Source organism: Homo sapiens, chromosome 3 (genome assembly GCF_000001405.40).
Source record: "Homo sapiens chromosome 3, GRCh38.p14 Primary Assembly".
NCBI lineage: Eukaryota > Metazoa > Chordata > Mammalia > Primates > Hominidae > Homo > Homo sapiens.
The window spans coordinates 148,296,633-148,312,032 of record NC_000003.12 but is presented as its reverse complement, the minus strand read 5'-3'; the positions used below and the strand labels follow the sequence as shown (position 1 = coordinate 148,312,032).

Below are 15,400 nucleotides of genomic sequence, written 5' to 3'. Positions count from 1 at the left end.
AGAACAATTTTTTTTTGTTTTTTACTAATACGAAAGCATTTCTTTGACTAATGAAAAAATATGTGACGACTGTTCTTTTTCCTTTAATGATGTGCAAAAGTGTCATCTGTCTCTATAATATATGCCCATTGCTGGCTACTTACCTCAATGTTCAGAATCACTAATTTGTGAGCCATAGTTGTGCTTCTTCAGAGTTTATCATTTTTTTACAGTCTTTTTTTTTTTTTTTGAGATAGAGTTTTGTTCTGTCACCCAGGCTGGAGCACGGTGGCACGATCTTGGCTCACTGCGACCTTTGTCTCCTGGGTTAAAGTGATCCTTCTGTCTCAGCCTCCCGAGTAGCTGGGACTACAGGTGTGTGCCACCACGCCCAGCTAATTTTTTTATTTTTAGTAGAGAGAGGATTTCACCATATTGCCCAGGCTGGTCTTGAACTCCTGACCTCAAGTGAGGCCTCCCAAAGTGCTGGGATTACAGGAGTGAGCCACCGCACCCGGCCAGTAATTGTTTTTCTCTTTGCCATCTGACCTCAGGATAAGAAACTGTTTTCAAATGTCCATAATTTACAAACCTTGGATTTGTGTTGTGGGCTCTTATAGCTTTCAATATCCTCAAAGGCTTTGAGCTCAGTCTCTGAATTCATCTCAGCTCTCCATCTTTATATCAGTGATAGCAATCATTAGATTAAACCCCCAAAGACTTTCTGAACCTAAAGCCTTCGAGATCAATCTCTAATCCTCCTAGAATTGACTCAAATATTATGACTGAATGAAATCTGATCCTATGAACAGAGATAGCCCATTGTTATGCCAGAATTCTTGGTGCTATTCTGCACCAGAGACTTCTGTGAATCTGTGTCTTCTGAGGACTGAACAAAACTGAAATGACATCCTGGATTTGGAAGCACTCATATTATCTGATATTGATTTTTTAAATTTTGGAGAACATACTTTTTAAAAATATAATTGTCAGGATCATTATTATTTAATGATGTGTTGAAAATGTTGCCAGCATAGAAAGAAAAGAAGTAAGACATATCATTGGAAAAATGGAAAAAAAATACAAATTATACATAGAAAATCTAAGAGAAACAATTAAAAACTTCTAAAATAAATGATTTGAGATTTAAAAAATATTTTTAAATCTATGCTATTCATAACCCATGAGTAGATGCAGTGGGAAAATAAGTTTTCATTTACAATATATTTTTTAAATATTCAGAAAAAGACTTTGGATTTAAGTTGTTTGTGCAGGACTTACATGTCCACAATTAAAATTTTATTGTCAGAGAAATATTGAAGAAATTTAAATAATATAGGAAAATGTACACTATATAATTTTGACTGAGAAATTGGTAAATACAATGTGATCTGAATTATGTTTCCATTACGTCTATGAATAGAAACATGACCAAAAGGAAGCATAGAAAAATTTAATGTTGGTTTTCTCTATGTTTTAAGTTATTGCTATTTTTCCCTAAAAGAGTACTCTATTGTCAAAAATTTTTATCATGGGCATATATTTTATAATTTGAATAAAATTTTATATATATATAACAATTTGGTAAAAGTAATGAAAAGTGAACAAAGTTGTGACAATCTTCCAAATATGAATTTTAAAAATTAGAAATGCCTGATCCCCTTACTCAAGCCCTGTGTTATTCTGAAACAAATTCCAGACATCATATTATTTCAGCCTCAATTATTTCAGAATGTTTCCAAAGTAAAATAAATCTTTTTTTAAAAAAAAACTCAATAACATTAACATAGGAAAAAATTTAACAATATTTCTTAATATTATCAAATATTCACTCAGTATTCAAATTCTCTGGTTGTCTAATTTTTCCTTACAATGTTGAAATCATAATTCAGATAAAATATATGCATTGTAATGGTTGACATGTCTCTTCAGTCTGTTTTAATCTCTAGGCTTTTCCTCAGTCTTTTTCGACTTGAATTTTATTTGTTGGATAAACTTGGTCTTTGAACTTTTAGATTTTCCCATCACCTGGAACAACTGGATTTTGCTCATTAATCCCTGTGTATTATTTAGTATATTCCCTGTATTCTCTATAAATTTCCGGTTAGAACTAGAGGTTTTATCAGATTCACATGTATTTTCTTCATTTTTTGATGTCATTCACCATTTGTAGGTATTTTAAAACATATTCAAAATTTTTTGACACTCCACCATTAAGAGATTCTCCTCAAATCTCAATTTACTCTAGTGATTTTCTTGTAACCAGTAGAGTACAGTGGAAATAATGCTGTGAGACTTTTGAAGCTAGATCAGAGAAAAATTATGCAGCTCCCCTGGCTCTTTTTGGATGCTCACTAGGGCAATCTTTTCCTTTCTGGGGCGATTAATCCTCTCTCCCATTTTGGGGACATTTAGTAATGTCTGGAGACAATAGGGAGGGTGGTGCTACTGCCATCTAGTGGGTAGAGGCAAGGATACTGCTAAACATCCTGCAATGCACAGGACAGACCCCCCTACAAGAATATGTCAATAGTTCCAAGGTTGAGAACAACCGCGATATGACAAGTCTAATTACTCTGAGATTGCTATGCTGGATAATCCACTTGTAGATATTCCAGTCAATCCCATTAGAGCTCTCAGTTGAGAGCCAGCATCTTTTAGCCTTGAAAACCAACCATCCTGGATATTCAGTCCAGTTGAGTCTTCAGATCACTGTGGCCTTGGCTGACCTTTACTTAGAATTGCCTGAGAGACCCCAAGAGAGAAATGCCCAGCCAGAAATTCTTCCTGAATTTCCAACACAAAATTCTGAGCAAAATAAAAGATTGTTTAAATCTACCAAGGACTGGTTACTATTGTTAAATAACAATAGTAACAGGAACTAGTCAATGTTTACATCTATTCATAGATTAGAAGTTACAAAATGGATATACTATAATTCTATTATTATTTCCTTATGTATTAATTGGAATCTTTTTATAAGGAGACACTTTTCCCATTGAGTATTTGATTACTGTAAAGTACAGTTTACATAAGAAAATCAGTATGAATCCTTGACTTTACAATTTAGTAAAACTGCAAAATCTTTTTAAAAAATAGAATAAAAGAGGGGAGAAAAATCTTAAGAAAATATCATGAAAGCAAGAACTGTGGGTTTATAGATTACTTTGAATTGTTACATTGACAGCTGACTGCTCAATGTTCACAATGGAAGGCAGGTATCAGTAGATGATCGTTTTAATTTGCTGAAAGGAAAGAACTGCCATACTAGAATTCTATACACAGTGAAAATATTCATCAAGATTGTGAAATAATAATCACATTCAAAGACATGATTACAATAAAAATGAGTGTTTGTACCAGCTACAAGTCTGACTGAAAGCAAATAGAACTAAGTTTTTGAAATAATTGTATTCCTGAATAAATCATAAGCCTCTACTCAAATTCTTTTAACTTTTTGGGACTTACAACTATATTTGCCACTCTTGCGTTATCATAAAATGGACTATAAATAAGGTATATTTTCCAACATCCATTACGAATACATCCAACCAAGATAACAGAAAATGGAGACTATTGCAGGAGGCAAGACAAGGGCCATAATGGATAGTGGTCAAGGACCCAGAGAGCAGACTCAGGTCTAATCGTGTAAATGCTCATCCCTAAGATAGTGAATCTTCACAATGTCTGGTCCTGGACAATTTCTGCATTGCCACATACCACTTACTGATCTGTTTCTTCCGTTGTTTCTTTTTCTAAATGATAATCCTCATTGCAATTATCTTATCCCCATTATAGCATAGTATATTCAATATATGAAAAGAGCAGAAGATAACTATTCTTTCAGATCATAGGTTTAAGAAACAAGAAAATCTACATCAGAGCCTTATAGAAAAAGCTGTGAATAATCCATACCAGAAAAACTTCCATAGTCAATGTCCACCTTGGGTGTGGGATTAAAGAGTGGCACTCTCTGTGCAGTCCTCGGCTAGACATATTTCCTCATTTTATAGATGAGGATATTGATTTAATAAGTAACTTACTGATTTTTAAAAATACCTCTTTTTATCACAGAGTATTTTAGTTGAATAATGGAAAAATTTGAGGATAGATATGTTGATGCTGTTTGATATAAATATAAGTTAAACGAGTTAGTATAAAAAGAAATTATAAGAAATTGAGTCTAATTATCACTAAGAAAGTTGAAGTTTCTCGGTTTCCACTTTTCAGCCTTTTGTGCTATCATTAGACTATTGTCAATGAGTCATTATAAGCAAAGTGAAGTAGACTGCAGGTGTTGCTAATGATCACTTATATATTTTCACAGTGTTCCAAAGCTGTACTTTATTACTTATTCCAGATTTAGCTATTTTTATTTTAATTGGTACTTTTAGAGATTTGGTTCCCAACCAGCTGGCATCGTCCAGCAGGTGAAGCAGAGAAATAGCACTTTTGTTATGGTAAAAGTGAAAGCAAATTGACTATTATCTATCAATCACAATCTGAAATAGGGCACTGCTCCTATGTTGACTCATATTTTCATAAGATAATGACTGAGGGTATTGTCCTCTGAGAGGACTTTTACTTTTACCACACAAAGATATATTGAACACCCACAAAATAGCATTAGAAGAAAATAAGAAACCCTAGCATAGTTTGATATTTCTTGATTTTGATGTTTTATACATCACTAGTGAAACTAAGTTATTGGTCACATCAATAAAGCAATAGTTGAGACACATATGAAAACATAGAAATAACGTACAAATTTGCTGATCACTGAAGTAATGTGCACATATTACTTTGTTTTTTTTAATATTTATTTTATTATTATTATACTTTAAGTTTTAGGGTACATGTGCACAATGTGCAGGTTAGTTACATATGTATACATGTGCCATGCTGGTGTGCTGCACCCATTAACTCGTCATTTAGCATTAGGTATATCTCCTAATGCTATCCCTCCCCCCTCCCCCCACCCCACAACAGTCCCCAGAGTGGGATGTTCCCCTTCCTGTGTCCATGTGTTCTCATTGTTCAATTCCCACCTATGAATGAGAACATGCGGTGTTTGGTTTTTTGTCCTTGCAATAGTTTGCTGAGAATGATGATTTCCAATTTCATCCATGTCCCTACAAAAGACATGAACTCATCATTTTTTATGGCTGCATAGTATTCCATGGTGTATATGTGCCACATTTTCTTAATCCAGTCTATCATTGTTGGACATTTGGGTTGGTTCCAAGTCTTTGCTATGGTGAATAGTGCCACAATAAACATACGTGTGCATGTGTCTTTATAGCAGCATGATTTATAGTCCTTTGGGTATATACCCAGTAATGAGATGGCTGGGTCAAATGGTATTTCTAGTTCTAGATCCCTGAGGAATCGCCACACTGACTTCCACAATGGTTGAACTAGTTTACAGTCCCACCAACAGTGTAAAAGTGTTCCTATTTCTCCACATCATCTCCAGCACCTGTTGTTTCCTGACTTTTTAATGATCTCCATTCTAACTGGTGTGAGATGGTATCTCATTGTGGTTTTGATTTGCATTTCTCTGATGGCCAGTGATGATGAGCGTTTTTTCATGTTTTTTGGCTGCATAAATGTCTTCTTTTGAGAAGTGTCTGTTCATGTCCTTCGCCCACTTTTTGATGGGGTTGTCTTTTTCTTGTAAATTTGTTTGAGTTCATTGTAGATTCTGGATATTAGCCCTTTGTCAGATGAGTATGTTGCGAAAATTTTCTCCCATTTTGTAGGTTGCCTGTTGACTCTGATGGTAGTTTCTTTTGCTGTGCAGAAGCTCTTTAGTTTAATTAGATCCCATTTGTCAATTTTGGCTTTTGTTGCCATTGCTTTTGGTGTTTTAAACATGAAATCCTTGCCCATGCCTATGTCCTGAATGGTATTGCCTAGGTTTTCTTCTAGGGATTTTATGGTTTTAGGTCTAACATGTAAGTCTTTAATCCATCTTGAATTAATTTTTGTATAAGGTGTAAGGAAGGGATCCAGTTTCAGCTTTCTACGTATGGCTAGCCAGTTTTCCCAGCACCATTTATTAAATAGGGAATCCTTTCCCCATTGCTTCTTTTTCTCAGGTTTGTCAAAGATCAGATAGTTGTAGATATGCAGCGTTGTTTCTGAGGGCTCTGTTCTGTTCCATTGATCTATATCTCTGTTTTGGTACCAGTACCATGCTGTTTTGGTTACTGTAGCCTTGTAGTATACTTTGAAGTCAGGTAGCGTGATGCCTCCAGCTTTGTTCTTTTGGCTTAGAATTGACTTGGCGATGTGGGCTCTTTGTTGGTTCCATATGAACTTTAAAGTATTTTTTTCCAATTCTGTGAAGAAAGTCATTGGTAGCTTGATGGGGATGGCATTGAATCTATAAATTACCCTGGGCAGTATGGCCATTTTCACAATATTGATTCTTCCTACCCATGAGCATGGAAAGTTCTTCCATTTGTTTGTATCCTCTTTTATTTCATTGAGCAGTGGTTTGTAGTTCTCCTTGAAGAGGTCCTTCACATCCCTTGTAAGTTGGATTCCTAGGTATTTTATTCTCTTTGAAGCAATTGTGAATGGGAGATCACTCATGATTTGGCTCTCTGTTTGTCTCTTATTGGTGTATAAGAATGCTTGTGATTTTTGTACATTGATTTTGTATGCTGAGACTTTGCTGAAGTTGCTTATCAGCTTAAGGAGATTTTGGGCTGAGACAATGGGGTTTTCTAGATATACAATCATGTCATCTGCAAACAGGGACAATTTGACTTCCTCTTTTCCTAATTGAATACCCTTTATTTCCTTCTCCTGCCTAATTGCCCTGGCCAGAACTTCCAACACTATGTTGAATAGGAGTGGTGAGAGAGGGCATCCCTGTCTTGTGCCAGTTTTCAAAGGGAATGCTTCCAGTTTTTGCCCATTCAGTATGATATTGGCTCTGGGTTTGTCATAGACAGCTCTTATTATTTTGAAATACGTCCCATCAATACCTAATTTATTGAGAGTTTTTAGCATGAAGGGTTGTTGAATTTTGTCAAAGGCCTTTTCTGCATCTATTGAGATAATCATGTGGTTTTTGTCTTTGGTTCTGTTTATATGCTGGATTACATTTATTGATTTGCATATATTGAACCAGCCTTGCATCCCAGGGATGAAGCCCACTTGATCATGGTGGATAAGCTTTTTGATGTGCTGCTGGATTTGGTTTGCCAGTATTTTACTGAGGATTTCTGCATCAATATTCATCAGGGTTATTGGTCTAAAATTCTCTTTTTTGGTTGTGTCTCTGCCTGGCTTTGGTATCAGGATGACGCTGGCCTCATCAAATGAATTAGGGAGGATTCCCTCTTTTTCTATTGATTGGAATAGTTTCAGAATGAACGGTACCAGTTCCTCCTTGTACCTCTGGTAGAATTCGGCTGTGAATCCATCTGGTCCTGGACTCTTTTTGGGTGGTAAATTATTGATTACTGCCACCATTTCAGAGCCTGTTATTGGTCTATTCAGAGATTCAACTTCTTCCTGGTTTAGTCTTGGGAGGGTGTATGTGTCGAGGAATTTATCCATTTCTCCTAGATTTTCTAGTTTATTTGCGTAGAGGTGTTTGTAGTATTCTCTGATGGTAGTTTGTATTTCTGTAGGATCGGTGGTGATATCCCCTTTATCATTTTTTATTGCGTCTATTTGATTCTTCTCTCTTTTCTTCTTTATTAGTCTTGCTAGCGGTCTATCAATTTTGTTGATCCTTTCAAAAAACCAGCTCCTGGATTCATTAATTTTTTGAAGGGTTTTTTGTGTCTCTATTTCCTTCAGTTCTGCTCTGATTTTAGTTATTTCTTGCCTTCTGCTAGCTTTTGAATGTGTTTGCTCTTGCTTTTCTAGTTCTTTTAATTGTGATGTTAGGGTGTCAATTTTGGATCTTTCCTGCTTTCTCTTGTGGGCATTTAGTGCTATAAATTTCCGTCTACACACTGCTTTGAATGTGTCCCAGAGATTCTGGTATGTTGTGTCTTTGTTCTTGTTGGTTTCAAAGAACATCTTTATTTCTGCCTTCATTTCGTTATGTACCCAGTAGTCATTCAGGAGCAGGTTGTTCAGTTTCCATGTAGTTGAGCGGTTTTGAGTGAGTTTCTTAATCCTGAGTTCTAGTTTGATTGCACTGTGGTCTGAGAGACAGTTTGTTATAATTTCTGTTCTTTTACATTTGCTGAGGAGAGCTTTACTTCCAACTATGTGGTCAATTTTGGAATAGGTGTGGTGTGGTGCTGAAAAAAATGTATATTCTGTTGATTTGGGGTGCAGAGTTCTGTAGATGTCTATTAGGTCCGCTTGGTGCAGAGCTGAGTTCAATTCCTGGGTATCCTTGTTAACTTTCTGTCTCGTTGATCTGTCTAATGTTAACAGTGGGGTGTTAAAGTCTCCCATTATTATTGTGTGGGAGTCTAAGTCTCTTTGTAGGTCACTAAGGACTTGCTTTATGAATCTGGGTGCTCCTGTATTGGGTGCATATATATTTAGGATAGTTAGCTCTTCTTGTTGAATTGATCCCTTTACCATTATGTAATGGCCTTCTTGCACATATTACTTTGTATCTCCCCCTTTCTACATATACAAGTTCTTAACGCAGGTGATATACTTTAAAAAATAGTATAATGTCTTACATAAGAACTTAATACGTGGACCTTGCAAATGACCTGTGCTCCATAAATATTTATGGATGATGCAGAATCTTTAATTTATAAACAGCTAATTTGTTATCTTATACTATACACACATATGCTCTACTCCAAAATGCATTTTAGGTCATTTAGCCATGCTTTGCAGTAGTCCTGCTTCCCAGTTGTTTCACATTTCTGTTGGGTGTCCTGGAGTGGCTGTATTCCCTGAATTGTTAGTTTACAGCAAAATTTTGACATGTTACTGCAGGTGAGATTTTATGCTTTGTTCCCTCTTTAATCAATACCAAACACCTGATTTTTTTAAACTAAAAATTGCCACAAATTACAGGGAGGTAGATTTTACCAATCTAAAAGAGCTCCATACTATTTTTGTTCATTATAATTTAGAAATTGTATTGATAGATTGTTTTTCTTAAGGCACTTTTTTGTTGCTATTAGAATAAGAAGACTGGGACCTTTCTCCTGACTGCCTTTCACTAGGTTAATCAGTCAGAATTACAGTAGCTTCAATTCAAACAAAGGGAGCAGTGTTATGTATAATAGAATTAAGGGAAGCAAGTCAGAGTTCAACAAATGGATGTCAAAGTTTGATATGGTGGGAAGAGAAAATTACAAATATGCATATAACCATATCTCTGTGCGTGTGTTTGTGGGTATATTTTGATATACAAAGACACACATAAGTTTAAAAAATATGATTATATATAACATTCAATATTGAATTCAAATAATTCAATATATATTAAATTCAATATATATTGAATTCAAAATATAATTGATATAATTAGTCACAGCATATGCCTAAAGTTGTGGGTTGAATTAGTGTATGTCTCCCAAAAAGATATGTTAAAGTCCTAACCTTTAGTATTTGTGAATATGAACTTATTTGGAAATAATGTCTTTGCAGGGTGGGAGTGTAAATTAGTTCAACCATTGTGGAAGTCACTGTGGTGATTCCTCAAGGATCTAGAACTAGAAATACAATTTGACCCAGAAATCCCATTACTGGGTATATATACCCAAAGGATTATAAATCATTCTACTGTAAAGACACATGCACATGTATGTTTATTGTGGCACTATTCACAATAGCAAAGACTTGGAACCAACCCAAATGCCCATCAATGATAGACTGGATTAAGAAAATGTGGCACATATACACCATGGAATACTATCAGTCATAAAAATGAATGAGTTCATGTCCTTGCAGGGACATGGATGAAGCTGGAAACCACCATTCTCAGCAAACTAACACAAGAACAGAAAATCAAACACTGCATGTTCTTACTTATAAGGGGGAGTTGAACAATGAGAACACATGAACACAGGGAGGGGAACATCAAACACTGGGGCTTGTTGGGGGGTGGGCGGCTAGGGGAGGGATAGCATTAGGAGAAATACCCAATATAGGTGATGGGTTGATGGGTGCAGCAAACCACCATGCCACATGTATACCTATGTAACAAAACTGCACGTTCTGCACATATACCGCAGAACTTAAATTATAATAATAATAATAACAAATATTTAATGAAGTCAGTAGGTGGACCCACAATCCAATATGATTGACATCCTTATAAAAAGAGAGGAGAGACACAGAGAGAACATCATGTGACAACAGGCAGAGATTCAAGTGCTGCAGATGCAAGCCAAGGAATGCCAAGGAACACTAAAGATTACCCGCAAACTACCAAAAGCTAGAAAAGAGCAAAGAAGCACTCCTTTCTGAAAGCTTCAGAGGGAGCATGATCTTTCAGAAAATCTGATTTTGGACTTTGAGACTTCATAATTGTGAGATAATATGTTTTTGTTGTTTTAAGCTGTCCAGTTTATACTTTATTGTAGCAGTTCTGGGAAACGAATACGTCTAGCTATCAAATATTTGAAAAAGAAAACTAAGTTTTACAGGTGCTTAATTAAAACTATGACAAAATTTCATATTTTGATAACACCCTTTGTTCCAAACACTTATCAAAGATGGGTAAAATATAAAATAAGGTCAGAAGGACATGGCCTTTCTCAAATGCAAAGGCAAAATCTTTTTTTGGCCACTAACAGAAAAGAAATGAAAAGTTGTGAGCAGATGATGATATGGCCTTCCTAACTTCCTAACTTTAGGTTCTCAGTAGGCAGAAGTTTCCAGGATCTAAAATATACCCTCAAGAAAGGGGACCAAAATGAGGTTTGCTACTTGAAGTCCTAGAGTTGCTTATAGCTCCTGCTGAGATACAGAATAGGCATAGTCACAACCTCATGACTAGAAGGTGAACAAAACCACCCCAAAAGAAACTAAACTGAGAAGATAAGTTTTACCAAGCTTTCGAGGGAGCCAGACGTGTTTATTTTACACCTACCATTTTGGAGAACAGCAAAAGCACAGATACTACTAGACTAATGTTTAGATATATTACAGTAATTAGGAGAATATTTTAAAAATAGACATATTGATACAAATGCATGCAAAAAATCTGAAGATACTATCTTACTAAACTACTAGCAAACCAAATTTATCTTTCAGTTAATCAATACACCATAACTAATTATAATATTGGAACACAAAATAGTTTAACTTCAGAAAATCTACTATTCCAAAATATCATATTAACAAGTCAAAGAAAATATACCATATGAAGATAAATGCTGAAAACTCCTTTAGCAAATTCTAAAATTCATTCATGATATTTTGTTAAAAAATTGCAAGAAAACTATCAATAAAAAAGAATTTTCCTAGTTTTATTGAAGTTACCTATCAAAAACCTAAAAGAAAATGATGAGCATTTCCATTAAGTCAGTGATATGGTTAGACTTTGTGTCCCCACCCAAATCTCATCTTGAATTGTAATCCCCATATTCTCCATATGTCAAGGGAGAGACCAGGTAGAGGTAATTGAATCATGGGGGCAGTTTTCCCCATGCTGTTCTCATGATAGTGAGTGAGTTCTCACAAGATCTGATGGTTTTATAATGGGCTCTTCCCCTTTCACTTGGCACTTCTTCTTCCTGCCACCTTGTGACGAAGGTGCCTTAACTATCCTTCGTCTTCTGTCACAATTGTAAGTTTCCTGAGGCCTCCCCAGCCATGCAGAACTGTGAGTCAGTTAAACCTCTTTATTTTATAAATTACTCAGTCTCGGGTAGTCTTTTTACAGCAGTGTGAGAATGGACTAATATAGTCTGGAATAAGAAAAAGATGCCTAATCTTATGGTTTCTAAAAGGTAATGGTCAACACAATGTTCAAAAATGATTACAGTAAGAAAGAAAAGGAAATAAATCTGGGAAATAATAATAATCACAAAGGAAGAGATAAAACTCCCCTTATTTGTTAAGCATATGATTACCTACATTGGAAATTTAAGGGATTCTGTGGACAGATTATTAAAACTCACCAGCATACAAAAATCAGTATCATTCCTGATAATGAATACACCAATAATTAACAAAAATCAATCAATAAAAATATGTTCTATAAAGTAGAAAAAGTTATACAGAATGTTAGACTGTAGGTGAAAAATTACTGGAGATGATTTTTAAAAGCCTGAATAAATGGAAAGTTATGTTCATATGATTGTTTGTTGGGAAAACTTTGATGATGCACCACAGATTAATCTCAAAATCTAATACAATTTACATAAGGAAATCTTTGGGAGGTTTTTGTGGAACTCAAAAACTACAAATGCAAGATCACATGGCCAAAAACCACTATGATGATTTGAACAACTGGGATAATAAACTTGACCTAACATATAACAAAAATTTTAATAAATGAATAATAAAGATATCAGTACATGATTAATAAATAGAGCAACAGAATATAACAAGCCTAGAAACTGATCCATTCATATATGACAATAATGTATGACAGACATAGCATTACAAATAAATGAGGAAAAAAGATGAACTGTTAGGTAAACGGTGTTGGGATAATTGTTTATCCATATGGAAAAAGTTAAATTAGGTCCTTTAAAACTTTTTGAGTAAAATAAAGAGTAACATCTTTATGTCCTTCAGATAAGAAAGGATTTATTTACTCCAGACACAAAAAAACACAAATTATGAAAGAAAACACAGCACTTTGGGAGGCCGAGGCGGGTGGATCACGAGGTCAGGAGATCGAGACCATTCTGGCTAACACGGTGAAACACCATCTCTACTGAAAAAATACAAAAATATTAGCTGGGCGTGGTGGCGGGTGCCTGTAGTCCCAGCTACTGGGGAGGCTGAGGCAGGAGAATGGCGTGAACCCATGAGGTGGAGCTTGCAGTAAGCCCAGATCACACCACTGCACTCTAGCCTGGGTGACAGAGCAAGACTCCGCCAAAAAAAAAAGAAAAAGAAAGAGAGAGAGAGAGAGAGAGAAAGAAAGGAAGATTGTGATATATTTGCAACACAATAAGTTAAACTTTTTGCACAAAAGAAACTATAGACAAAGTGAAAAACTAGTCACATACTAAGAGAAGACATTTGCAGCCCATGTGAATAACAAACAGAAGTATCAACTGCCAATCAAAATGTCCAAAGGATATGAATAGGTAATTCACAGGAGAAAAAAATATAAATGGCCAAGAAATGAGCAAAAACATGCTCAACTATATTAGTAATCACGGGAAGCAAATTAAAACCATAAAAGAACTTTTACACCTGTCGCTGGCAAAACTGAAACTGAAAAACAAAACTGAAAAATGATCTGACAATAACAAGTGTTAGAGAAACAGAAACTCTCAGATACTCCTATCAGGAGTGTTAAATAGTTCAGATTCTCTGGAGATTAGTTTGGTATATAGTAAAGCTGATGTATCTCGGGACACAGAAATTGTTACCCCTGGATGTTCCCCATGAAAAAATGCTCATATAAATTAGTAAGGAGAGTTGCAGAATAATTTAAAATCATAGAAAATGGAGCAGGTAAAATGTACATCAATTAGAAAACAGATAAATATTGTACATTCATCTAACAGAATAATACTTGGATTTCAAAATAAATAAAGCGTGTGTGTGTTAACATGGATAAATCTTTTTAAAAATCAAGTAAAAGAGTGAATTATAGAATGTGAAGAATTATATACCACTTATGTACATTTTAAATCCTTCAATGTGGTCTATAATTTAAAAATGTATTGTTATTACAAAATAAAAAATACCATGCAAAATAAGATGTTTTAAAGTATCATTAATTTGCTTTTAGATAAATGTCTTCATGGAATTTGAAATATACTTGAGTTGGCCCTTTAGAGTTACCATTTGTCAGTAAGGGAAATAAAATGTTATTAATTAAATGAGATAAATTAAGGAAGAACACAAATATAATTAAATATAGAAATCTACAAATAACCCATGCTGAATTCTTCCAAATTATCTCTCATGAGCCTTTGTCAGGATTGCTAAGCCATGATATAGCACATTTTGTGTTTCTTTTTTACTTTCTCTATCCACCATTCAGCAGGGAGGGTAGTTGACATTGAAATGACCAAAACTTAGGAGATGGAGGCAGTAAGAGAGACCCTAAAAAATCCCTAGATAGTTTACAAACTAGATAATCAATTCTTGACTACTCAGGATTTGACTCTAATAAATACCAATCACATAATGAAATTAAGTTAAACATGCAAAACTCCTCTAGGGTTGCTCTTTTGAATTGATTTGACCTTTTTGATTAGCCAGTATCACTACTACTGTCATTATCAGGACATGGGACAGGAACATAGCTATTATTTTCCTACCTTTCAGCTTTTCAATACAACAAATATATATTGGCAACCATTTCTATGATTTTAATTTGGGTACTCATTGTCCCCTTATTGGGGACTCGGGGCAATATAACTGTGGTTTTCCACACAAAACAAGGGTTAAGTATGTGTTTGGCCTCTTTTCTTTAGGATCCTAGAAGACTACCCTTTTATTTTTAAAGTTATCTTTTTCTGTCTTGAACTAAAAAACACAGCAAAGTAAGTCACATCAACTATTTTTCATTACCTTTACCAATTATTTCATTAAGGAACTTTGAGTCATTTCAATCATTAAACATTATAAACAAGGTTTTCTATAGAAAGTAATAATGAATTCTAAGAAAAACAATTACCTGTTATTACTGCCAAAGTTAAAGCTATCTTCCTGCATAAAAGTGTGCATTTCTCAGAAGAGAATGAGTTTATATTGAGGTTGTTGTGGGACATTTAGAAGGAAGTAGCTGACATATTGTTGCAGATTTATGCCTGATAATTATAGGGCACTGTACAGTTTTTAAAATGCTTTCATATTTATTATGTGATTGGGTTCTTAAAATAATTCTGTAAGGTCACAAATGCAGTGTTTCTCATTTTACAGATGAGATTGAGGTCTCAAATGGCTATGTGACTTGACAAGATCATCTAGCTACCAGGTAGCAGGGCCCATTCAAATGTAGGTGTTCTGATTCTAATTGCAGGGCTCCTTTTATATGCTCGAATGCCCTATTTCATTACAGAAAGCCTAACATTCTATACTCATTTTAAAAATATATATCTTTGGTAGACTTTGCCATTACATTAAGAAAAGAAGAATTGAAGTATTATGGTACTCCTGATTTTTAGAGTTTGTTAGTAAAATAATGCATGTGGGAAAATCTAGTAGAAACTTAGTAGAAACTATATGTAGTAGAAAAATATAATGTTTGTGAAAATATCTAGTAGAAATCTAATAGAAATTCAATAAATATTTGGCAATAAATATGTTGCTTTGGAATTATCCTGGTGCAGGG

At 34.7% G+C, this 15,400-nt stretch overlaps 1 long non-coding RNA gene across 1 annotated transcript in view, besides 1 other annotated feature; it reads right to left on the bottom strand.

The window, feature by feature from the left end:
• The window catches only part of LINC02046 (long intergenic non-protein coding RNA 2046), a 119,066-nt gene that overhangs the window by 87,924 nt on the left and 15,742 nt on the right, over positions 1 to 15,400 (bottom strand). The gene's annotated exons all lie outside the window — the stretch shown is intronic.
• Positions 13,255 to 13,444: an enhancer, noted in NCBI's record as "active region_20676". NCBI's record gives its function as "activates an Ori minimal core promoter by ATAC-STARR-seq in GM12878 lymphoblastoid cells {active_cell/tissue: GM12878}" and the evidence as "EXISTENCE:reporter gene assay evidence [ECO:0000049][PMID:35858748]".